Below are 26621 nucleotides of genomic sequence, written 5' to 3'. Positions count from 1 at the left end.
AACATACTCAAATCAATAAACGTAATCCATCACATAAACGGAACCAATGGCAAAAACCACATGATTATCTTAATCAATACAGAAAAGGCCTTTGATAAAATTCAACACCCCTTCATGCTAAAAACATTCAATAAAGTAGGTATTGATAGAGCATATCTCAAAATAATAAGAGCTATTTATGACAAACCCACAGCCAATATCACACTCAATGGGCAAAAGCTGGAAGCATTCCCTTTGAAAACCAGCACAAGACAGGATGCCCTCTCTTACCACTCCTGTTCAACATAGCATTGGAAGTTATGGCCAGGGCAATCAAGCAAGAGAAAGAAATAAAGCATATTCAAATAGGAAGAGAGGAAGTCAAATTGTCTCTGTTTGCAGATGACATGATTGTCTATTTAGAAAAACCCATCGTCTCAGCCCAAAATCTCCTTAAGCTGAGAAGCAACTTCAGCAAAGTCTCAGGATACAAAATCAATGTACAAAAATCACAAGCATTCCTATATACCAATAATAGACAAACAGAGGGCCAAATCATGATCATGAGTGAACTCCCATTCACAATTACTACAAAAAGAATAAAATACCTAGGAATCCAACTTTTAAGGGATGTGAAGGACGTCTTCAAGGAGAACTGCAAACCACTGCTCAAGGAAATAAGAGAGGACACAAACAAATGGAAAAACATTCCATGCTCATGGATAGGGAGAATCAATATTGTGAAAATGGCCATACTGCCCAAAGTAATTTATAGATTCAATGCTATTCCCATCAAGCTACCATTGACTTTCTTCACAGAATTAGATAAAAACTACTTTAAATTTCATATGGAACCAAAGAAGAGCCCATATAGCCAAGACAATCCTAATCAAAAAGAACAAAGCTGGAGGCATCACTCTATCTGACTTCAAACTACACTACAAGGCTACAATAACCAAAACAGCATGGTACTGGTACCAAAACAGATACATAGACCAATGGAACAAAACAGAGGCCTCAGAAATAACACCACATATCTACAACCATCTGATCTTTGACAAACCTAACAAAAACAAGCAATGTACAAAGGATTCCCTATTTAATAAATGGTGCTGGGAAAACTGGCTAGCCATATGCAGAAAACTGAAACCGGACCACTTCCTTACACCTTACACAAAAATTAACTCAAGATGGATTAAACACTTAACCGTAAGACCTAAAACCATAAAAACCCTAGAAGAAAACCTAGGCAATACCATTCAGGGCAAAGGCATGGGCAGACTTCATGACTAAAACATCAAAAGCAATTGCAACAAAAGCCAAAATTGATAAATGCCATCCAATTAAACTAAAGAGCTTCTGCAAAGCAAAATAAATTATTATCAGAGTGAACAGGAAACCTACAGAATGGGAGAAAATTCTTGCAATCTATCCATCTGACAAAGGGCTAATATCCAGAATCTACAAGGAACTTAAACAAATTTACAAGAAAAAAACAAACAACCCCATCATCAAAAAGTGGGCAATGGATATGAATAGACACTTCTTAAAAAAAGACATTTATAGGCTGGGTGCAGTGGCTCACACCTGTAATCCCAGCACTTTGGGAGGTTGAGGCGGATGGATCACAAGGTCAGGAGATCAAGACCATCCTGACTAACATGGTGAAACCCCATGTCTACTAAAAATACAAAAAAAATAGCCAGGCATGGTGGCAGGCGCCTGTAGTCCCAGCTACTTGGGAGGCTGAGGCAGGAGAATGGCGTGAACCCAGGAGGCAGAGCTTGCAGTGAGCCAAGATTGCGCCACTGCACTCTGGCCTGGGCGACAGAGTGAGACTCTGTTTCAAAAAAAAAAAAAAAAAAACACATTTATGCAGCCAACAAACATGAAAAAAAAGCTCATCATCACTGGTCATTAGAGAAATGCAAATCGAAGAATTTTTATTTTCCATCTTAATTTTGTTTTTGACCCAATGCTCATTCCGGAGCAAGTTATTTAATTTCCGTGTATCTGCATGGTTCAGAAGGATCCTTTTGGAGTTGATTTACAGTTTTTTCCACTGTGGTCTGAGAGAGTGCTTGATATAATTTCAGTTTTCTAAAGTTTATTGAGGTTCATTTTATGGCCTATCATATGGTCTATCTTTGAGAAAGGTCCATGTGCTGTTGAATAGAATGTGTATTCTGCACTGGTTGGATGAAATGTTCTGTATATATCTGTTAAGTCCACTTGTTTCAAGGTATAGTTTAAATACATTGTTTCTTTCTTTTTTTTTTTTGTTTGTTTGTTTTTTTTTGAGACGGAGTCATGCTCTGTTGCCCAGGCTGGAGTGCAGTAGCACAATCTCAGCTCACTGCAACCTCAACCTCCCAGGTTCAAGCAATTCTCCTGCCTCAGCCTCCCGAGTAGCTGAGATTACAGGTGCCTGCCACCACGCCTGGCTAATTTTTGTGTTTGTAGTAGAGATAGGGTTTCACCTTGTTGACCAGGCTGGTCTCAAACTCCAGACCTCAGGTGATCCGCCCACCTCAGCCTCCCAAAATGCTGGGATTACAGGTGTGAGCCACCATGCCTTGCCTAAATCCATTGTTTCTTTGTTGACTTTCTGTCTTGATGACCTGTCTAGTGCTGTCAGTGGAGCATTGAAGCCCCCACTATTATTATGTTGCTGTCTATCTCATTTCTTTGGTCTACTAGAAATTGTTTCAGGGAAAGAAAACAAAAAGTGTTTCATTGCCTAGATTAGAGTTTATTACAGAATTACCATGAAAAATATTTGCAATATTGTGCATTTTGCTTATTTTTTATGCATTTTAAGCAGATTTGTAAGACTTTCTCAATCAATCCTAAAGATAGTTAATAAGCTTGTAACTTCTAACCCCCAAACATTGAGTGTCTCTTATGAAAGTATGAGATTATTCAGAAGTCAGAGTTATCACTTTTCTTTTTGTTAATGCATTTGCACAATTGTTATAATTTTATATTTTAATTCATTAAAGTAAGCCTTGTCACTAAGGTGGCCTCAAAGCTCAAAGGATGGGATTCTGGTTAGCTCCTCATACAATTTGCTTCTCATAGCTTGCAGAGGCCTGATTGTCCTCTGAAAGAAACCAGCCAGTGTGTGGTAAACTGGTGAGTTTGCCAGTAGGTACACTTTTTTGTTCCTTAATTCTTTGCCACTTTTGGCAAATAACTGAATAACATATGGCTTTTATCCCTGTGTTAGTCTGTTTGCATCACTATAAAGGAACACCTGAGACTGGGTAATTTATCAAGAAAAGTGGTTTAATTGGCTCATAGTTTTTCAGACTCTACAGGAAGCATGGTGCCAGCCACTACTGCTGGTGAGGGCCTCAAGAAGCTTACAATCATGGCAGAAGGCAAAGGGGAATCAGGTGCATCACATGGCAAGAGTTGGAGAAAGAGAGGGAAGAGTGGCCAGGATCTTTTTAAACAACCAGATCTCCTATGAACTCAGAGCAAGAACTCACTCATTACCATGAGGACAGCATAAGCCATTCATGAGGGATCTGCCCACATGACCCAAACACCTCCCACCAGACTCCATCACCAACACTGGCGATCACATTTCAACAGAAAATCTGGAGGGGAAAAACATCCAAACTATATCATTCAACCTCTGGCCCCCCAAATCTCATGTCCTTCTCACATTACAAAATAACATAATCCCTTCCCAATAGTCCCTCAAAATCTTAACTAAAAGTTAAGAATTAATTCAAAAGTCCCAAGTCTCATTTGAGACTCAAGGCATGCTCCTTCTACCTCTGAGCCTGTAAAATTAAAAACAAGTTATTTACTTCCAAGATACAATAATGGTACAAGTATTGGGTAAATATTCCCATGCCAAAAGGGAGAAATCAGTCAAAAGAAAGGGGCAGCAGGCCCCACACCAGTCTGAAACCCAGAAGGGCAGACATTAAATCTTAAAGCTCCAACATAATCCCTGACTTCATATGCTGCATTCTGAGCACACCAGTGCAAGGGGCCAGCTCCCAGGGCCTTGGGCAGCTCTGCCTCCATGGCTGCTCACACAGGTAAGTGTTGAGTTCCTGTGGCTTTTCCAGGCCCACAGTGTTAGCTGCCACTGGTTCTACCATTCTGGGGTCTGGAGAGTGGCAGGCCCCTTCCCACAGCTCCACTAAGTGGTACCCCAAGTGGGGATTCTGTATGGGGGCTTCAACTCCACATTTCTTCCTTGGCACTGTCCCTAGTAGAGGCTCTCTGTGGGGGCTCCAACCCTGTGGCAGGCTTCTGCCTGGGCACTCAGGCTTTCCCCTATGTCCTCTGAGATCTAGAGAGAAGCTGCCAAGCCTCCTTTATTCTTGTATTCTGTGTGTTTGCAGGCTTACCACCACATGGAAGCTGTCAAGGTTTATAGCTTGCCTCCTCCAGAGTGGCAGCCCAAGCTGTACCTGTGGCCCTTGGAGCTGCAGCTGGAGCTGGAGCAGCCAGTATGGGCAGCAGCATCCCAAGGATGAACAGGGCAATGTGGCCCTGGGCTTGGGCCCTGAAACCATTCTTTCCTCCTGTGGGCCTGTGTTGGGAGGGGCTGCCTCAAAGATTTCTGAAATGCCTTCAAGGTCTTTTTCCTATTATCTTGGATGTTATTAGCACTTGGCTCCTATTTAGTCATACAAATCTCTCTAGCAAGTGGTTGCTCTGTAGCCTACTTGAATTTCTCTCCTGAAAATTCTCTTTCCTTCTCTACCACAGTGCTAGGCTGCAAATTTTCGAAATGTTAATGTTTTCCTTTTAAATGTAAGTTCCAACTTTAAGTCATTTCTTTCCTCCTGTATCTGATCTAGGCTGTTAGAAGCAGCCAGACTACATCTTGAATGTTTTGCTGCTGAGAAATTTCTTCCACCAGATATCCTAAGTCATCACTCTTAAGTTCAAACTTCCACAGATTCCTGGGACGTGGACAAAATGCAGTCAAGTTCTTTGCTAGGGCATAATAAAAGTGACATTTATTCCAGTTCCTAACAACTTCCCCATTTCCCTCTGAGGCCTTGTCAGCCTGGCCTTTCATTGTAAATATTTATTATCAACATTTTGGTCACAACCACTTAACAAGTCTCTATGAAGTTCCAAACTCTCCTTTTTCTTCTTTTCTTCTTCTGAGCCCTCCAAACTCTTCCAACCTCCGCCCGATATCCAGTTCCAAAGCTTGTTCCACATCTTCAGGTGTCTTTATAGCAACATCTCACTCCTCCTACCAATTTTATATTAGTCCATTTGCATTGCAAAGAAATACCTAAGACTGGGTTAGTTATACAGAAAAGAGATTTAATTGACTCATAGTTATTCAGGCTGTACAAGAAGCATGGTGCCAGCATCTGTTCCTGGTGAGGGCCTCAGGAAGTTTACAATAATGGTGGAAGACAAAGAAAGATCAGGCACATCACATGGCAAGCCAGGAGCAAGAGAGAGAGGCAGAAGTGCCAAGCTCTTTTTAAACAACGATATCTCATAAAAACTCACTCATTACATGAGGACAGCACCAGGAAATTCATGAGGGATTCATCCCCATGAGCCGAACACCTCCCACTAGGCCCCACCTCCAACACTGGGGATCACATTTCAATACAAGATTTGGAAAGGACAGACATCCAATGATATCAATCCCTGTTCATTGTGAATTTTTATATTAGAATAAATTTTAAATGGAGTGAAGCAGATGTCTCCAAGTGTGATTATGCATTTCTGTCCCCTCATCATCCAACTGACCTCCACATCTCCATCAGTTTGCATACTCCTTGAAAAACAAACAAATATTCTGTGAGCCCCTAGCAAGAGTCAGGCACTGAATCCTCACAGAAAACCTACTATTTATCCCATTTTATTTTACTTTATTGAGACAGGGTTTTGCTCTGTCACCCAGGCTGGACTGAAGTGGCACCATCTCAGCTTACTGCAACCTCTGATTCCTGGGCTCAAGCAGTTCTCCCACCTCAGTCCCCCGAGGAGCTGAGACTACAGGCATGTGCCACCACACCCAGCTAATTTTACCTTTTTGTTTGTTTGTTTGTTTGTTTTGTTTTTTGGTAGAGATAGGGTTTCACCATGATGGCCAGGCTGGTCTTGAACTCTTGGACTCAAGGAATCCACCTGCCTCAGCCTTCCAAATTGCTAGGATTGCAGGTGTGAGTCACTGCACCTGTCCTACTGCTTTCATTTTATAGATGAGAACATTAGATAGGGGAGTTGAGTTATTTGACCAACATCAAGTAGTTAGTAAGCAGCAGAGCTAGGATCTGAATCCAAGTCTGCATGGATCTAAAGTCTGAATAACCCTGGCATCATGAAAACCAAATTAGAGTAGAGGTATCAGTCCAGAAATAATTTCCTGACTTGAAAAATTAGATCTTCTTGAATTCAACTGTTCAACATTTGTCCGTTTGTACCAGAGCAACCTTTAAAGATGGCGTTATACCTTTTCTAAAGAAATTGAACATCTAAAGAAAACCATTAAGGTTGCAGACAAATTTTTATGCACCAAAGATGTGGGCAATAACCCCAAATGTCTACATATAGGTTGAATGTTATAGCACAGACACAAAATAAAATATTATGCAGTCATTAAAAACAAACTTTCATAGATATTTCAATAAAATGGAAAGTGAGAAAAATCATGATAGAAAACATTATAGAGTATAAAACTAGTTACGTTAACATATAGACACATATATACACATTTTTTAAGAGCACAAGATGTATAGAGATTAGCTCAGCCTCATTAGAATGCAAAAAAAAGTTTCCTCTTTATAGTTTTATCTGTTCTCTACAATATATGCAATAAGCATCACTATATAATAATAATAAACATAAGTTATAAAGTACTTTTCAGACTTTCAAAATGGGCAAATATTTGATTTCCCAATGATTGGTCTGTGGAAAATGATTTCAGAAATGTATAACTATAATTATAAGAAATATTCATAAGACCAACTATAATTCCAATGTTATTTTGTTTCAATAAGAGACAAAACTTACATGGTCATATGCAACCCATGTATAAATTCATTTATAGCCCTCCTGATCAGTGTATATATATTCATAAGGCCCTAGAAAATTTGATCATAACCAGTGACAAAGAATTCCCATTTTTAAGTTTTGGAAAGAACTATCAGCTTAAGCCTGAAGCCTCTCTTTCTTCAGTCTATTTCTCTGAGCTAAATTTTTGTTATAAAAGACAAACGAAGAAATTATTTGTCCTCCATGCTCAAATGCAGCCCTTCTCCAGGTTCTCCCTGATAATGACATTCAGCTCAGGGCTGAATTTTATGATAATTGAAACCACACACTTATTTTAATTACTTTCTGCATTTTCCATTTGCCATCTTGTCAGAACGATGTATGAATCACAGTGAACAATTAGTGCGTTGGAAGAAACCATGTGTGAGGCTGAATGGAAGCCTAGTTCAGTTGTTGCTCGAGCCAATGCTGTGATGATCCTGACAGTTCCATTCCATTAATTCCAAAGCCACCAAATTACATTGTCCTGCTTTTCTTGTGCAGAGATAAGGTCTACTGCCAACACCTTCTTCTCACTATGACCAGGTTCTGGAGGAACAAAACTGCTTCAGGGCCAACCTGGATTGCCATGAATCACCTTCATATCTCACATTGTCCAGGGAAGCCCTTGCACAAAGCTAGTACTCATAAACAACGGGCAGATTAACCTATGTGGCATGACCATTTGGTGGGGGAGAAAAGCTCTTTTCAGCAGTCTGCGTCTCTTTTTTGTTCTCAACCATAAAAAGATAAATGTTTTTATTTCTAGGTGGAATATGCTATTGTCAGACTTTCTGGGGGTTTAGATCTAAGAGAAGAAAGCTTTGTTCTTCAGGTTTCCTCAACTCATATAACTTCTATTTTCTCAGAGCCACAGTGCCATTAGGATTTTTCTGGTGGCTTTCTTTTATTTGATTTAAGAATATGTGCAGTGGATTTTTCCTGTTAACATTTGAGTTTGTAAATAAGACCCAGACATGGACACAGCAAACAACCCCAAAGTGGCATTTGAAGGCCAACAAATGCCACTCTTTCTGGATCTCTTTTCCAGATCCAGAAAACCACCTCATTGGTTATTGCTTTGGGCTCAATCCCTGGGGGCCCCTGGGAGAAAAAAAAGGCCATAGTATAATCTGGGAGAAATAACATAGTGGGATAAAACTGCTTTATAGCTGTGTTCTTATGACCCTTTAAATTCCATTTTGATGTATTTTGGAAATATACATGCTGGGTAAGTTTGGATTTGTTACCAGCAAAGAGATATGGCCCCTGTAACGGAAAGTTGTTTGTGTTCTGAACCAAGTTTATGGGTTTGCACTTCAGTGAAGTGGTTAATGAGTACATTTAACAATTATACTTAAATTATCTGCAAATTGGCAAAATGGAAAAGATTAGGAGACACTCTCTCAGATGCTAAAACAGATTAGAAAATTATCCCACTGATTGGGAAATATGGTACTCAGGAAAGATATGGACCAGGAAGCCACTCCTGCCATGTCACCTTTCCATTTGGCTTCTGTTGGAAACAGAAAGTAAGCTCTAAAGAGAATTAAGTTAGAATTATGAGACAATGGCTGTATAAAATACAGTGGGCTGTATAAAAATACAGTTAATGAAACAATTCACTAAGTTAAAATAGCCATAGGTGCTGCAACATAAAATTCAAGAGATTTTGGAGGCACACAGATCTGAAAAACCATGGCCAAGAAGAACATGTGACTCTGCACCAAGAGTGGATTTGAGGAGTGGCTATGACCTCAAAGGAGGTCACAGTGAGCCGAGATCACACCATTGCACTCCAGCCTGGGCAACAGAGCAAGATGCCATCTCAAAAAAAAAAAAATCTATTGTCATCCTTGCCATTTTTCCAAGCTTCAACTCGGGATTTTAGCATTCATGATACCACTTTACTGGTGCATACTGGTCTTTATCGTTATCCTTGTAGATACCTTTCTTTCCTTCTTTTTTATTACATAATACATTTTTAAGAATCTGAACTCGGGAGGCCGAGGTGGGCACATCACAAGGTCAGGAGATCGAGACCATCCTGGCTAACAGAGTGAAACTCCGTCTCTACTAAAAATACAAAAAAACTTATCTGGGCATGGTGGCACGCACCTGTAGTCCCAGCTACTTGGGAGGCTGAGGCAGCAGAATCGCTTAAACCCAGGAGGCAGTGAGCCGAGATCACACCACTGCACTCCAGCCTGGGCAACAGAGCGAGACTCCATCTCAAAAAAAAAAAAAAGAAAGAAAGAAAGAATCTGAACTATTTGTTTCTTTAGGTCTCTCCATTTGCTTATTCAGATGGTTGCAATAGGACAGTCACAGTACTGGCTCCAGAATTATAGAAGGACCTTAGGGATGGTGGAAATCTGACTGAAACAAGAGCTAGGTCTTGCTTTGAGGTGGTAATAATGTTAAGCAAGTATCTTTTGCCTATATTGTATGTATATTACAGACAAATTAAAATAGTCAGGTGAATAAGTTTGCTTTCATACTTTAAATGAAATTAATAAGATACCTATTATTCATATCAATAAAAAAACATATTTTTATTATTCTCATTATTAGGGCTTGGTAGAGGGCTAATGAAGATTAGTGAGGAGAGAAAGCTAAAGCTTTCCAAGCCACCCCTTAGCACCACCTTTTCAGAGTTAACATTGAATTTTTGTAAGCTTCCCCCACCACCTGGGTCATCTTCCCTCCCTTGATATCATGCCATTGAAATAACACATCTTTCATTTCTCAACTTTTTGACACCTTTAGCACAGTCTGATTGTGCTTTCCCTCACTGGCAATCATGAACTCTTTCCCAGTGGAAGTCTGTTCCTCCTGCTCTTCTCTATTCTTCCTTTAGCATTAACCAATACACCCTTCATGGTTAGAATTAGAACCAGTGGCAGTTTCCTTTTGACTTTCTCATCTCTTCAGTAGAGAAAAAATATCACATTAAAAATGTTGAAGATGCTCTGCTTTTAGCCAAAAGTAGCCTTAGAAGACACCCAGAGAGTCAATGATCCCCTTACAACTATGCCTTGGGCTATGATAATGACCAAGATTTTTTTATAACCTTAAAGGAATATCCCCTTGTAAAAGTATCCATGTCTAAACTAGTCCTGACAAAAAATCATGAGAAGTGGGTGAACATCACGAGCATGTTTTATAAAACAATCTGTTGCACACTCCAGAATAGCATATTTCTCAACTAAACCTGTCAGACACTGTGCTAGGCATCGGGGCAGCCAGCTCTGAGCTCCCTCAAGAGTGCATTCTCCATGCTCCATCAAGGTCCAAGACAAACTTCTAGTTCTTCTTCTTCTTCATCATTGTCTTCATCACCTTCATCATTGGACCCACGGCTGACAACAAGGCCTGTGGGGAGGACCTCGGAGCTCCCTAATTTGGACCCCCACTTTGTGGCTCTGCACACCAAGGAGCCCCCTCCCAGGCAGGAAGGGGAAGAGGCAGGTGAGCAGGGCTTGTTAGGTTGTGGCTACTTAAATGTTTTTTGTTATGAAGTCTAAAAAAAATTTATGCTCATTCATTTACTTTCTTAAAAAACATCATCTAACTTTAAGTATATTCATATCTATATAGATATAAAACTTATTGATATTATTCAAACTCTCCTCTGAACAGCATAAAGGTGATTCACTTTTCCCCTACGTCCTAAAATTGAGTTCTGTTTCAGAAAGTCTTTGGAATACTTCTGGGAAAAACAGGTTCTTCCTTTAGTGGTGACCTTGATAGTTTTGCAAGAGCCTGTCACTAAGGCATCTTAAATCCTATTGTAGAAATTCAAGGCCAATGATTCATCAAAGATCTCCTTTCTCTTCTAAAGTCATAATATATGCCAAGGAGAAGAAAACACCATGCTCGTGGTAGAAGTCTCCAATATATATGCATGCATGCATGTGCACACACACACACACACACACACAGTGAACAGGCCTTTAGTTATACACATTCTTGTGTAGTCCATTCCCAAGATGATTTTGGACTAGTCTTTATAACCAATAGAATGAGATAGAAATAATTCGTGATGCCTTCTGAGGCTAGGTCATAAGAAGGCTCACTGCTTCTGCCTTGCTCTCATAGAACACTTGCTCTGAGAAAAATCAGTCACGATGTAAAAAAAATCCAATTATACCGAGACCCTCATTCTATGAGGAATATCAAGATAATGATGCAGAGAGACTGCGTGGAAAAAAGATGGAACCTGGCCAGGCTGAAGCTATTCCAGATACCCCAGCCCATATGCCAGATGTATGAGAAAATAAACCCTCTTGGAGGTAGATCTTCTAGCCCTGGTGAGTCTCCAGATGGCTACCGCCCCAACCACAATCTGACTGCAAGTAAGGACCACAAGCTGAATCTAGAACTGTATCATACCATAAAAAACTGTTGTTTTAAGCTACTAAGTTTTTGGGGTGCCTTGTGCAGCAATATATAACAAAAGCAATGTTTCATGTACTTAAATTAGATGCCCAAGTTTCCATAAACCTTAAAGGCATTTCAAGGTTCATTTCAAGGTTCTCTTCTGAAAGTGTCATTTATTCCTATAGAAAATCATCAGGAATGAATATGTTCCAGAAAATTTGGTGCTCATTTCCCAGCTGAACCTGTCAAGTATTTGTTCAGCCTACTCTGTTCCTGTCTGTCCACATTACCAGGAAATCAATAAGTATCATAACTTTTCTTTTCATTCCAGGCCAGTAGCAGGTAGCTGACAAATGACTGGGATTCTTCCTTGTTGGCATGTGTTTTTCTTCCATATACCCAGCCCCTCTCTGTGGGTGACCAACACACCAATCAGGAGTCTCCAGGAGTGGTGGAAAGTTATCTTCTCTGTCACATCCTCTGTTTCCAGACTGACGGGGCTGGTGTGGATCCTTCCCACCTTAGCATAACCACATCCTAGCACTTCTCACCAAACCTCTTCATTTTGACCTCAAGTACACATCAGGTTAGGGAGTGTCCTCAATACTAGATTTCATTGCAAGCAAGAAGACAAATACTCCTTTTGCTCCCCTCAACCTCTATTCTTCTTGAGGGAGTCTGAGCCCTTTTCTAAGTTTTCATCCCTCATGGGATCCCCTTGGTTAGTGGTGGCAAGCTCTCTTCCCTTCAACGATCCCTGACCAATTCTGAGAGCTGCTACCTAGCTCTGTCTCACACAATCCCATGATGCTTCCTTCCCTTTCTGACCTGGACTCCCCTTCCCTACCACAGATCAGTTGGTATCCTTGATCACTTGCCCAAGTCCCAGTCTGACTTTCCTGAGTCAATATTATTGTCATCTTTCTACCTACCAGAGCCCTTTGGGGCCCGTTGAAGGCAGGGCCACCAAGGGAAAAATCTCCCCCTCTCCAAGACTATAACCCTTGCTCAACTCCTGCCACTTCCATGTCTTACCCAAGTCCTCTATTCTCCAGGTCTCTACTTTCAGCAGACACTCATCCTTACTCATCTGAATAGTTCTCCCTTGGCTTAGATCCTGACTAGGAGCCCTTTGGGAGATATGCAGATGGAGCAAGGTACAAGAGAGTGGCAGAGCCTCAGTCCCAGTCATTCCATCTCATCATCCACCCCCAACAGGCTTATCTGATCTGTGGGACTTTAAAAGGAAAGAACCAATATGAAAAATATTTTACATGAATATGTATAGCACTTATCACTCCTTAACTTGGATATCATATATTTATATATAAAATAAAGACATATATTTATCTTGCTTATCATCTATCCCCCTTAATTAGAATGCAACTTTCATGAAGGCGCATCTTTTTGTTTGTTTTATTCGCTTCTGTTTCCCTAACAGAGAAGAGTACCTAACACACGGTAGGTGCTCAATAAACATTTGGTGAATAAATTAATGAATAAATATTCACAGTCCAATCAGGAAGCCTCAGTTTCTTGTGGGTTAACAAATGCCCAATTTATATATTAAGGTCTTTTGTTTCAAGTAAGAGAAACCACCTCGGGCTTGGTTAGCAAAGTAGAATTTATTAGGATGTTACCATGGGGCTCCCGGAATTGTCAAATGTAGGAGAAACAGACTTGAAAAACAGTTGTCACGCAGATGGCCAGACTATGACAGTGATAGGAACAATCTGATCAGACTGGAAATTAGGAACTCCAAACTTTTTCGGTGTTTGTTCTTCTACTCAACAGTCAAACTTCAGAAAGGGACATCCCTTTGGCTATGTTGGATCAGGGGCTAGCCCCTCGGAAAAAGAGGGATGGCACCAAACTATAAACAATGGGGAAAGGGTCCCTCCTGCAAAGAATTTTTTAGGAAGGAGAAATTAATTCTGAATAGCCAAGTACAAAAAATATCCAATAAAAACTCAGACAATTAACTTAGGTTTCACAAATTCCATGCCCTCACCAACTCTTAAACTGCTTTCCCTCTAAGAAGAGAATTTTCATGTATGTTCTTCTACTACTGCATGTTTAGATAGGCAAAGCTAAATTGTACTAGAAACTAATTTAAAACACTGTAGAAAGATGCTTTAAATACTGTTTCAGTAAACTTTAGGAGTCAATACTATAAAGACTTGAAATATATCAACTCAAGAAAACACAGTTACAACCTTCTCTAGTGGCCAATCACAACTTTGGGCTGCTTTGATTTACAACATTGGCCACTGTAGCCTAGCCATTTAATCTTATAATCAAAATCAATCACCAATTTTTATGACAACATTTTGCAGGCTGAGCAAAAAATATTTCTCTTGAGGACAAATTAGGAAACCCAAAGTAACTCTTGCAAATAACCACTGTTGGCCATAACTTGCTGTGCTACACTGAACTCACAGCAATTCATTCTGTAAGTGCCACAGAAGCTAGAAGAAATTGTATAATTTTTTAAAATAAAGGAAATATCCAAAGAGATTAATATAACATAATGGCTATCTGGTGACTGAGTGAAGATTTTTAGTGGTTCAATGACAACATGTACTTTCATTTATGCCTCCAATGGTTGTCATCCAAAAGATATTAAGTGTGTCCAAATATCCTTCAAGACAGATCATAACTCACCATTAAAATGATGCAAGGCCCTATTAGGTTGACAGGCAGACTTCCCCATTGCTTCAAGGTGCTCATCCCTGAGCTTGCACTCAATAGTGAAAAGTAATGGCCAAACAGAAGACACTATGCAGAATGGCTAATTGCCAGATATACCACCAATAAATCAGCTGGACCCATTAATATGTAATGGAGCTCAATTTACTGTTAATTCAGATACTCCCAGAAAACCCAGGGAGCTCTTTAAAAGTAACTGCAGTAATAATTTCCCTTTATGTAAGTCAAATAAAATTAGCATTTCATCCTAGAATTGTATTCTGTGGAAATAATCATAATAAATTATTTAAATATTTCTCAGTACAGGTTCCAGGATTCCAGAGTCCTAGTTTCACTATTCCAGCTTGGCTATCAACATACTATACAGCTTGTCTCTGGTTTCCCATGTTTCAGGAAAGCCCAAAATATTCCACCTATAATATGTAAGTCACAATTTGATCTCTACTGCCTATAATAACAGAATCTTGTGTTTCCTCTGACAATCTCTACATGCTTATTTGATTTTCCAGATCTTACCAGAAATGGCGCATATTGAAACGAAAAGGATATAGAAAAGTGTTCAGTGAGGAATCCAAAAGTTTGCTATTAAGCGTTGTGAAGTGGAAGATAGCATTCTCCTTTAATTTTGCAGCTTTTCCTCTGAGAGAGTACTCCACCTACCAGGTGGAAGAAATAATGAGATACGGTCTCTCCCAGGGGACTAAAATGTCCAAAACCAATCTGAACACTTGCAATGACACTAGTCAAAAATACAGTGAAAATAATGCTTGTGTCTCCTTCGCGTCTTTTCCTTCCCACACCTTACTGGGACTTTTTATCTCAAGCAAAGGACTTCAGTGTCAACACTTAAAAATATCCCAACTTCCCTCCCACGGTTGTTGTGGGGAACAAATGCAATGATGTATACAACAGCACTCTGTAGAACAGTAAAATCTCATACACATGCTGGACAGGTGTAGGGTATTATTATTAATACAATTTAGAAATAACAATAACATGCACTTAAACTCTCCATATAAATAGCCCCCTGTGGTCTATTAATCCAAGTCCTGTTTGTAGCCTGCTACTTATATGTGTGGATATCCTCTGAGGGCTATTCCAGACCAAATGCATACATTTTAAAAAGCATAATCCCTTCCAAATTACAAATTATTTTTCAGAAGAACACTACAGCTATTAGAATGGATAAACATTTCTAAACAACAATATATGCTTTTAAAAAATGTATAAAGAAATGTTATACAGTGATTGTTCTGTGGGTCAGTGGGCCAAGTTGATACATACAACAGGTTGAGCTATCAGATTCTTTTTCTCTCCAGCTAGTCCAATGGGCATCTGCCAAGTTCTTATTTCCCCAGATCTGAATCTTATAAGCTGGTTACGCCCTACTCTACCAATATGAACCACATGGATAACTCAATCAATAAACTCAGTGCCTGGGAAGAAACTGGGATCCAGGCAACAATTCCTAGCACATAAACCAAAAGAATTCCTGTTGGCCTTAATGTTGCTTTCAGTGTAGTGATTTTTAAAAATAAATGTATATAAATTTTCTAATTTTTTCTTTAGTAGTAGAAATCCATGTTTTTAAAAAAGGATCAGGACCTTTTGTTCAAATTAATAACTAGCTTACGATATGCATAAATTTGCTTAATTGAGTTCAAAAGTCTCAAAGTTCCCACTGTAAGCTCTTACAGGTGGAGGTTTTCAACAAGGGATAAATTTTGATTCTCCACAAAGCCTGGTGAAGAATGCAAGTCCCCAGCCTTGAGAAAGAACCACCATAAGGGACTGTCTCTCAAAGAACATGGGTCATCACATGTGCTCAGCACACTCAGTATCTTCCAAAACACCAGCTCTGCTCATGACCACACAAAACCCTAGGAAGGCGCAACAGATAGATAGTGACAGCAACACACTATTGCCAGGTCCCCCCAGTGAATCTGTTCTGTCAACCTAAAATGATCAAAATTGTCAGAATCTAGTTTTAAAAGAGTTTACTCAAATGCAAAGTTTGAGGATGAGCCTCCTGGGAGGCACAGATCCCAAAGAATGGAAGTCAGTGTCGTGAAGTGTAGAAGTTTGCAATTGCTTACATAAAGTATAGGGAAGCTTAACAGAATTTCGACACCCTTCTATGTTAGGCTTAATGCATACTTTCAATGATCTGATTAGTCAAAGTGGTCTTTTTTTCTTTCAGGAGAGGTATATTAAACATTCCATATGAAGATGGGTACAATCATGGGTTCTTGGGCACCATATGGTCTGAGTTAGGTACAGGACAATAAAAGAGGCAATTAACCTAGAACAAAGATCAGTGATTAGAAGGGGTAGAAGGCCTGGTCTCTGGTCTCTCCTAGTCATTTTAGAACTAGAACAATAAAGAAGAGAGCTAATCTATAATCTAAGAAGCAGAATTGCAAGTATACTATGTGGTTCAGTCTCCAGGGCGTAACTTCCCTTGGCATAATAAATTTAGAGGGCCCTGAAATTTTATTTTCATTTACAGTTCCATGCCTGTCGCATTATACATCATGCACTCACAACACTGAGCCAGGGAAGCTCACCAGTGACACAAAAATAAAGAGCTGCAATTTGCATGGTTTTTTCCATCAGAAGCAGGATTTCCCCAAGGGGTGACAAATGTACCATAATTTTAGATAATACATGGAAAATCTTTAAAACAAAATTCGTACTTATATATTTATTTCCATGGACATTTAAAAAACATAGCCAGCATATCAAACCCATATGATTATTATTAGTTAAAATGTAACCAACTTTTTTAACATCTGTCAATTTTGAATTTTAAACAATTAAGAATATAAAGGTGTGTAGATATAATAAAGAAGGTAATGGTTGCAAATTTCTGAATATTTAGAAATGCCAAAGCCATTTTTGTTACTAAAAATGTATATATTTCTAACATTTATAGCTCAGGATTCAGAGAGTTTAGGTTGAGAAATTCACTGGCATATAAACAGTACTGGGGATTTTTTTCTCTTTGGGTTCTGTTGATGGCCTATTCAGTGATAGGGTGAATGTAACTAGTAACCCTGATGCTCCTGTGTGCTAAGTTGTGTCTATAGGCATTTACAGATTTGGAGAAACATTCAAGCCTAAAATTGAGGCCACACAGTGAGCAGTATGATAGCTTAAAACAATTTTTTTAAATAAAAAACCATGGGCGCCTGAGACCCTGATGGGCTGTGACCATGAAATCTTGGGCAGGTGCTCTGAGCCTCCTCTAGGGCTCATCTGCAAAACAGGGGCCATAATAACACCTACTTCATCAGGTCATTGAGACATGTAAAGGAATGATTTATAAGAAGGAACTTAACGAAAAAACTGTAAAGCAACTGTGCGGTTATCATTATATTACAGCATTTATTATGGGGAAAGCCCACAGTTCTCCAAAAGGATAAAAACAACTCCCCATACTGCTCTGCCCCTAATTGTAGGCTGCAATCAAGCTCAAAACTGGGAGTTCAGGAGCAGGGCAAAAGACTGCAGGGTCAGACCCATATGTCCATGGCACCAGAACTAGCACCTCCAGCCAACAGGCTGGGATCTGCCCATAGATCTCCAATATTTACCTGGAGGTCAGCACTCAGCTTCCCAACTGCAACTAAATCTGTGGGGAAATAAAGCATAGAGCTCTTCCCCAGGAAGAGTGCATAGGGCTGCTGTACAGGATTTGTTACAGCCGGGATTGGTGAGGAAAAGGCCCATTGGAGGGAATATCTGAGACAGCAGGAGTAGCAAAGCAGACACTGAAAAGTGTGGGAGCTGGAGAAGGGGGCTGTGTCAAGGGTCTCAAACCAAATGCCCTCTGGGCTAAGCAGATAATGAAGAAGCTAGACAAATGTGGGCCAGTGATGGTGAACTGGTGAGAAAATGCCTTGGTTAAGAGAGGCAACCATTGCCCAGTAGTAGCTGACTGTCATCAAGTGGAAACTGACTTTTTAAAAGTTGGGAATCTAGGTTTTTATGTGAGTTGAAATCTCCCACTTATTAACTAGGAAATAATCCCTCCTCAAAATGTTAAGTTCTCTACAAGCCAAATGAAACAAGTCTATGGCCCACATGCCATTCTACCACTGCCACCCTGCAAGCTCTGTTGTACCTACCCAGGAGGTGGGTGGAGGAAAAGCAGATGACAATAAGAAGGCAATAAAATGTTTAGCCATTTCCTAATGTCACTTTTAAAAAAAACAAGAGGGATAACTAATATTCAGCTGAGGAACTTTACTGTTTGGAAATCATAGGTGGAGGCTTAGATGAGGGACATATTGTAATCACCTACTATCCGGAAAAAGCTTGTGAATAAGAAAGCAAGAATTGCTTTACTGGGTAAAGTAGGTATGATTATAAGGGTCTCAATAAAATAGTCAATTACAATAATATATGGTCTCTTTGGACGCTGGCCTGAGACCTAAGACATACCACCGTGGGAATGTGGTACCAAAATCCAGCCAGTGCAGTTTGTTAGCACCGATGGGAGGAAGCTGGATGGACACTTTCACTCAGTCCTCCAAACAGAGACAAGACCAAGAAATAGGGCAGGGACTGTGGAAATGATTCATCAAAATCAGTACTTCTTTCTCAATCACTAAAACTTTCCAATCTGGCTGTACTAATTCCTTTTTCCAAAGACCATCTGGAGCAAAATCTGCCTCATCCCTTCAGTGTCAAGGCCCTCCTTATTCTTGACAGGGGACTTTTTAGCATCTGAACTCCCAAAGACCAAGCAGGAGTCCCTGTATAAGCCCAACTGAGACAACGGGATAATGCCTGCTTCTACCACCCATGTCAGCTGCCTGGACACCTGAGTGACAGTGCCAATAGCCCAAGGGACTGGAGGGAGGAAAGTGCAAGGGGGACACCTTAGTAGAGCTGAGGGTGGGAACTGAGACACAGTTCCACACATGGGGTGTGTTGGCATAGCAATCCCATCTAGCAGAAACATGTAAACCAAAGGATAGCATAATACTGTATAAAAGTTGCCTTCAGGCTGGGCGTGGTGGCTCACGCCTGTAATCCCAGCACTTTGGAAGGCCGAGGTGGGCGGATCACGAGGTCAGGAGATCAAGACCATCCTGACTAACAAGGTGAAACCCCGTCTCTACTAAAAAAAAAAAAAATACAAAAATTAGCCGGCCTGGTGGCACACGCCTGTAGTCCCAGCTACTCGGGAGGCTGAGGCAGAAGAATGGCATGAACCTGGGAGGCGGAGCTTGCAGTGAGCCAAGATTGCACCACTGCACTCCAGCCTGGGCAAGAGAGCAAGACTCCGTCTCAAAAAAAAAAAATTGCCTTCAAATACCAGTCCTGTTGCTGTCAAAATGGAGTAACCTTGCAAATACAGCTTTGACTCCTCCCAACCCCATACTGATCTGTTTGTTTGCCTCCATTCCTCTGACCCCTAAAAAGCAGTGATTAGAATTCAGGTCGGCAAAGCTGAGGATTCAGGAGGCAAGCTAAGGCAAGGCTGAAGCTGTTTTGCTATGACCTTCCTTTACAGAAGTGGCCATAAGAATAACAGCCTGAGGATGGGGAGGTGACACAATGGCAAAGAAGCCAGGAGACAAAGAAGACGGAAGCTTGGGGGCCACACTGATCTTGTCCCTCCATTCCTCTTGAGTAGTAGCTACACAAATAACTAGCCAGAGTTACTTCCCCTAAACAGAACACAGAGTTACTTCCCCTAAACAGAACTGGTATAACACAGTTGCATTCAGCAAACATTTCCCGAGCACCACTAGGTGCCAGATATCAGGGTTCTGATGTGAGTGAAATACATTTTAAGTGTCAGGTGTTAGGGTACTGAGTGGCAGTACTACTGCAGTACCAAAGAGGAAGAGTGTTCAAGAGAGGTTTCGGAAAAGAGGCAAAATTTGACCTGGCTAGTAATCATGATAAGGAGCATAACAGCAAAATGTACGTGGTGTTTACACAGATTTACTAGCCGTGTTAAGTACTTATGCGGACTGTATAATTTAATATAATTATAAAATTAACTAGACAAGCAGGAAGATAACCAGAGAAAGCATTGCAGAAGGAACAGCATGAGCAAAGGTCAGGAAGAGAGAAAGCGTCATGTTCACAAAACAGTAAGACAGAAGAAATAATGAGAGATAAGAGAAGAGCTTGGGCTGGGATAGCAGATTCTTCCAGGAAGCCTTCCCTCATTGCCATTCTCCATTCTCATCACTGCTCTGTATATTGTCCCCTCCATACTTAAAGTGCTCACTTTGTAGGACGTTCCTATCAGGATCACATTTGGCTGGAAGTGTCCGACACCCAAAATAACAGACAGATCACAGTTCATCAGCTCTCTCATGTAAAAGTCCAGGGCAATACGCAGCCCTGTGAACACAGGGTCCCAGCTCCTGCCAGACTCCACTCCCCACTCCTAAGCAAGGCCCTCATCTGCATGGTCCAACATGGTCACAGGAACTCCAGCAGTTACATCCACATATCCCATGATCAAGAAGAAGACGAAAAAGGAGGGCCAAAGGAGATGCAGCTGACACTTAAAGGAAGTTCTCAGAAGCTGCCCCAGAACACTTACTCCTCCACAGCATCATCCAAGCTTCGGCACTGGCACACCAAGCTGCAAGGGAGGCTGAGAGATGTGGCTTTATTCTGGGCTGCCATGTGACCAGCTGAAAACTGGGGATTCTGTTACTGAGGAAAATGAGGAGAACAGATGTTGAGGAACAACTACCAGCCTCTGCCCATAATAATTTAATTAATCATTTCTCTATAGAGCATTTGCTTTGACTCAACTAGATTATAACTTCCTAAAGAGCTATCTTCTTCTCTTTAATGTGTTTCATGTCATCTAGTAAACACTAAGCATCCAATAGATGATATAGGAAAAGAATGAATGAATAACAAATGAAACAAGCAAATTCTTAAAAACTTGGTAACGTATATGTGGACTATTTTCATGGCTAAGCTACACAAAAATAGTGTGACTCTACAGAATAATCCCTGCTTCTACCACCCATGTCAGCTGCCTGTACACCTGAGTGACAGAGCCACTGGCCCAAGGGACTGGAGGGAGGAAAGTGCAAGGAGGACACCTGAGCAGAGCTGAGAGGGGGAACTGAGACACAGTTCCACACATGGGGCGTGTTGGCATAGCAATCCCATCTAGCAGAAACATGGAAACCAAAGGACAATGGAACTGACTTATTTTTCCAATAGGTACCATGGGAAGATAAGAACTTTAAAAAAGTCATCACCATAATACTGTTAGAAACAGGTTTGTTTGCTCATTTTAACAAACTAGACCTTTACATACTCAAAAGGGAATTTTCACCTTCATTGCGACAGTCCACTGAACATCCATTTTTATGATAACTAGTGGTGTTGAATTCTCCATTTCCTGAGGATGTTTAGAATTTGGAAACAGGAAGAAGTGATCCAGAACCAAGTCTGATGAACTATAAGGTAGATGATCAAGCTGTATTATTCCAATTCAAGTTTTTTTCAAGTATAACAATAAAGTAACTGGTTGAGATTCTATATATGCTTATAAAATTCCTGTTGAAAGCAATTTCAGGAATGCAATTCCTAAAATCTTTCCAAGAATGGTGAATTAGCTAAATGCCATAATTAACAGTTACTTATCATGTTATTTCAGAATAATGGTAAATACATAAGTAAGCATATTAACATGATATATGTTTTTATACGTGTATGTATCTATGTGCACATATATATGCATATACACACACATCCTGTGATTTAATGAACAAGATTATGAATTATGGGTAATGCACATTAGCATTATGTATACATATACATACACACTATATACATATGTTAAATACACACAGAGTTTTCTGTGTGTGTGTGTGTGTGTGTGTGTGTGTGTGTGTGTGTGTGTGTATCCCCCTATTATTTAGTGGACAGGGCAACCCAAAATAGATAAGCAAAATTTTTACCAATCTAGGCCTTCCTTAACATAAAATATTTACTGGGCTCAACATTATTTCAGATCATTACTGAAAAACAAAACAATACAAACAAATAAAAAAAGACTCTGATATGCAGATAAAAATACAACAATAATATAATCAGCTTAAATCATGTAATAATGTTTTTTCAGAGAAACTGAAGGCATTTTACAGACATCAATATTCCTAAGAGAAAACACAGGCCACATCTCTCCCACTAGCGATTCTTGGCTGTTTATGCAACGCTGAGCCATTATCTGATATGTGGAGAACTTTATATTAACCACAAGGAAAAAGTGAATCAATAATGTTGCTTAGAATGGGCACAGCACTTCTCATCTTCCTAGCACTTTACCAACATTGATGAATTAAGCCTCTCGTGGTCCCAGTGAGACAAAAAGAATCATATTCCTTGACCCAGGGAAAGAGACAGAGATCAGGAGTTCAACTCAATTGCCCTCAGCTCAGTGGGAAGTTAGGGTCAGGACCGGTACCACAGGGAGAACCTGGTGTCTGGAGTCATAAGTCCTGCACCCAGAACACTTGAGCCTTCCAATCCCATCCCTCACTCTGTCTTCAGAGAACACTGGTCTTGAAGCTTAGGCGCCCCATTGTCTGAGTTGAGGGGAGAATGTGTTTTCTAGTCAAATATCTATCAACCAAAACACATTGATTTTCTTTAATTATCTCCACAAAGCAGACTTGATTCTGAAGAGCTTATGTGATTTGAAAAATGTATCACCTATTTGTCAGACATGTATAATTTATGAAGGCCCTTTCATTTAAGGTCTGTAGTCCAAAGCGGACAATATGTGAGTTATTAACATGTTATTAGGTATACCTTATTAAGATGTGCAGGCTTTCAACCTCTCATACAAAAAGCAAGAGAGACACTACATAAATTTTCACTTGCATTATTAAGCTCAGAAGATTCTGATTCTTTTCTTTCTTTTTTCCCTTTTTTTTTTTTTTTTTTTTGAGACAGAGCCTCACTCCTAAACCCAGGCTAAAGTGTGGTGGTGCGATCTTGGCTCACTGCAACCTACACCTCCTGGGTTGAAGTGATACTCATGCCTCAGCCTCCTGAGTAGCTGGGACTACAGGCATGCACCACTATACCCAGCTAATTTTTGTATTTTTGGTAGAGACGGGGTTTCACCATGTTGGCCAGGCTGGTCTCGAACTCCTGACCTCAGTTGATTCTCCCGCCTCAGCCTCCCAAAATGTTGGGATTACAGGCATGAGCTACCATGCCCGGCCAGAAGATTCTGATTCTAATGCCACCCTATGAATCCATTCCAAGAAGCTGCCTGGTACAATGAAACTATCAAAAAATTATACTTAATTTTAAACTCCTTGGTTTAATACAAGCCTGCTTCAGACAGGCTTCTACTTTATCAGAATGTGTTGCTGTGATTTCCTTCCCATGCAGTGCTTGCCAATACTGACATTAAACTCAGTGAAAATTCTTGGGAATTTCTGTTATCAATGCATGCTCCTGACCTGGAGAACAGACCATCTATTTTACAGATAACTTACTTAAAAATAACTAATACTACTTAATTCATGAGGCAATAGGCTCTTTACATTAGGATCCACTGAAATGAAGTAATATTAAATTTAGATATGTCCAAAGACACATAGTAGAAATTTCTATGAATTGGATAAGGTAGTTAACTTTATACCTATCATTGTCATGTATAGCAAAAATAGAGCAAGGATAAATAAACATATCACCATTCATAAAAGGGATGGTGGGTGTTAAAGTGTCATCTGGTTCTATTTAATCTGTATAATTCTAATTTCAGGTTAGTTAGTGAGAGTTAACAAATACATATTGATCATATGTCCTAGGAACCATGCCTGACACTGGGAGCCAGCAGAGAGTTGGACCAACACAGACGTCCTGGAAGAGTCACCTAGAGCTTAGAGCTGAAGAGGGACTAGGGGTGACAGCAAGCCTGGCAGAGGCCACCAACCTGTGAAGACCCTAACTCCCCTCCTTCCTGCCTCCACGGAAAGAACTATGAATGTGGTAGAAAAAGTCCAACAGTCAGAGGAGGAGGCTGGGGCTGGATGCTTCAGGGCTGCAGGCCTCAGAGCAGCCTGGGGTTTTTATCCTGACAACAACAGGAAGCCCACAGAGGGTTTTAAGAATGGAGGCGGCTGGAGCAGGGAAAGGGACTCAGAAATTCTGAAAAAAAGTCATTATAAATGAAAGGCCCTTAGAGTCCAGATCTTTTTTGAAACCTACTCAAATCTGAATTTGAGGTGATGTTTTTTAATTAAAAAGAAAGAAGGGGTCACCTCAAAACCACATGAAGAAAACCAGTCTGACAGGTTGTTTTTCACATGCAATACTACTTTATCTCTCTGAGGTTATGAGAAAAAGTGGGGTAATGGGGAAGAGAAATTGACTGTTTCATTATTAAAGATTTCCCATATGCCAAAAATCATGAAGCAACAATAACAAATACCCTCATGCCCACCACCAAGATTTAGCCGAGATTAACATTTACCATATTTCTTTTTCCTTTCTCTTCTTTTTTTGAGAAATAAAACATTACAGACATCAATTGATTTCCTGTGCATTTTTCCCCTCCTTCCCTAGAGGTAACCATTATACCAAAATTCTTGTGTATCCTTCTTGCATATTTTATTTTTATTTTTATTATAAATGGGTGTATCTATATGTTAACACGTAGTCTTTATGTTTTTATGTGGTATGTCATTGGTTTCATATTGTATGTATAATTCTGCAACTTGCTTTTTTCACTCAACCTGTTTTTGAGATATATTCATATTAATATATGTAGTTCTATTTCATTTCATTTAAATGCTGTATCAATATTGTATGGTTATAGCACAATATATTTATCAAGTCTCCTATTGGTGAATATTAAGGTATCCCCCACCTTTTCTCTGATTACAAACAATACTGCAATAAATACCCTTTTGTTCACCTATCTCCTGATGCACAAGTGTGAGAGCTTCCCCAAGGGATAATATTTATGTAAAATGTTTTAACACATTGGAGGAAAGTAGTCTATTAAATTAAATTAATATTCTAATTGCTAATCATGATAACAATGACAATGATATTTTCACGTCACAGAGAATAGCAGCACTTTCAGGACACATATTTGAGAATACAGACATATGTCACTTAATGACAGGAATACGTTCTAAGAAACACATCGTTAGGCGATTGTGTCATTGTGCAAACATCATAGAGTATACTTACACAAACTCAAACGGTATTCCATGTAGCCTACTCCACATCTAGGCTACACGTAATATCCTATTGCTCCTGAGCTGAAAACCTGTACAGCATGTTACTGTACCAAATACTGTAGACAATTGTAACACAGTGGTAAGTTTGTGTATCTAACCATATCTAAACATTAAAAAGGTCTATTAAAAATACAGAATAAAAGATAAAATATGGTACACCTGTTTAGGGCTGTTACTACAACTGGAGCTTGCAGGACTGGAAGTTGCTCTGGGTGGGTCAGTGAGTGAGTGGTGAGTGAATATAAAAACCCAGGACATAACTGTACACTATTGTAGACTTTATAAATACCATACACTTAGGCTACACTATGTATTTATTTATTTATTTTTATATTCATTTTTAAATTTTTTTTCTGTAATGATAAATTAACCTTAGCTTTACTGTAACTTTTTACTTTATAAACTTTTAAATGTTTTAAATTTTGTGACTTTCATAACACAGCTTAAAACACAAACAACACTCTTCAGCTGTGCAAAACCATTTTCTTCCTTTATGTCATCATTCTATAAGTGTCTCTTTTTTTTTTTTTTTTTTTTTTTTTTTTTGAGTCAGAGTCTTGCTCTGTGGCCCAGGCTGGTATACAGTGGCATGATCTCGGCTCACTGCAACCTCTGCCTCCCAGGCTCAAGCAATCCTCACACCTCAGTCTCCCGAGTAGCTGGGACTACAGAGGCACACCAACATGCCTGGATAATTTTTTTATTTTTTGTAGAGACAGGGTTTCGCCATGTTGCCCAGGCTGGTCTTGAACTCCTGGACTCAAGAGATCCACCCATCTCAGCCTCCCAAAGTGCTGGGATTACAGTCATGGGCCACCATGCCTGGCCCATTTTTTTGTTTGTTTTTTAATTTTTAAAACATTTTTGTTAAAAGCTACAGCAAAAACACACACATTAGCCTAGGCCTACACAGGATCAGGAACATCAAGACATCACTAGGAGACAGTGATTTTTCAGCTCCATTGTAATCTTATGGCACCACTGTCACAGATGCCGTCTGTCATTAATCAAAACATCATTATGCAGTACATGATTGTATATGAAATCATTTAAGTTGCGATGAAGAAAAATGGGCATGTAGAAGTCTACCAGAAGTTGGTCCAGTTTTTTATTTAGTGGCTGAAGTTCTGCAGGGTCTGATGTAAGCTGAAAATCTGGTTGAAAGAGCTGAGTGTTTCTAATTTAAGATACATGTCAAGTAGACCTAAATAGCAAGGGAAAATGAGAATAGACGTACTGAGAAAAGAA

At 39.8% G+C, this 26621-nt stretch overlaps 1 long non-coding RNA gene across 2 annotated transcripts, besides 1 other annotated feature; it reads right to left on the bottom strand.

Moving 5' to 3' along the window:
* Window positions 1-10522: 10522 nt before the first annotated feature.
* LOC105374181 (uncharacterized) lies at window positions 10523-25697 on the bottom strand. 2 transcript variants are annotated; one of them, XR_924638.3, is made up of 3 exons: window positions 22068-25697; window positions 21440-21563; window positions 10523-20799 (listed from the first exon to the last, which is right to left on the bottom strand). It is a non-coding gene; the product is annotated as an uncharacterized LOC105374181 (long non-coding RNA). The 2 variants fall into 2 exon arrangements; XR_924637.4 differs by having other exon boundaries at window positions 21440-25697.
* Window positions 22547-22747: a silencer, noted in NCBI's record as "peak4882 fragment used in MPRA reporter construct". NCBI's record gives its function as "represses an SCP1 promoter by STARR-seq MPRAs in K562 erythroleukemia cells {active_cell/tissue: K562}" and the evidence as "EXISTENCE:reporter gene assay evidence [ECO:0000049][PMID:32103011]".
* Window positions 25698-26621: the final 924 nt, after the last annotated feature.

The sequence above is a fragment of the Homo sapiens genome, chromosome 3, assembly GCF_000001405.40.
Source record: "Homo sapiens chromosome 3, GRCh38.p14 Primary Assembly".
Taxonomy (NCBI): Eukaryota; Metazoa; Chordata; class Mammalia; order Primates; family Hominidae; genus Homo; species Homo sapiens.
This window is presented reverse-complemented; position numbering and strand designations above follow the sequence as displayed.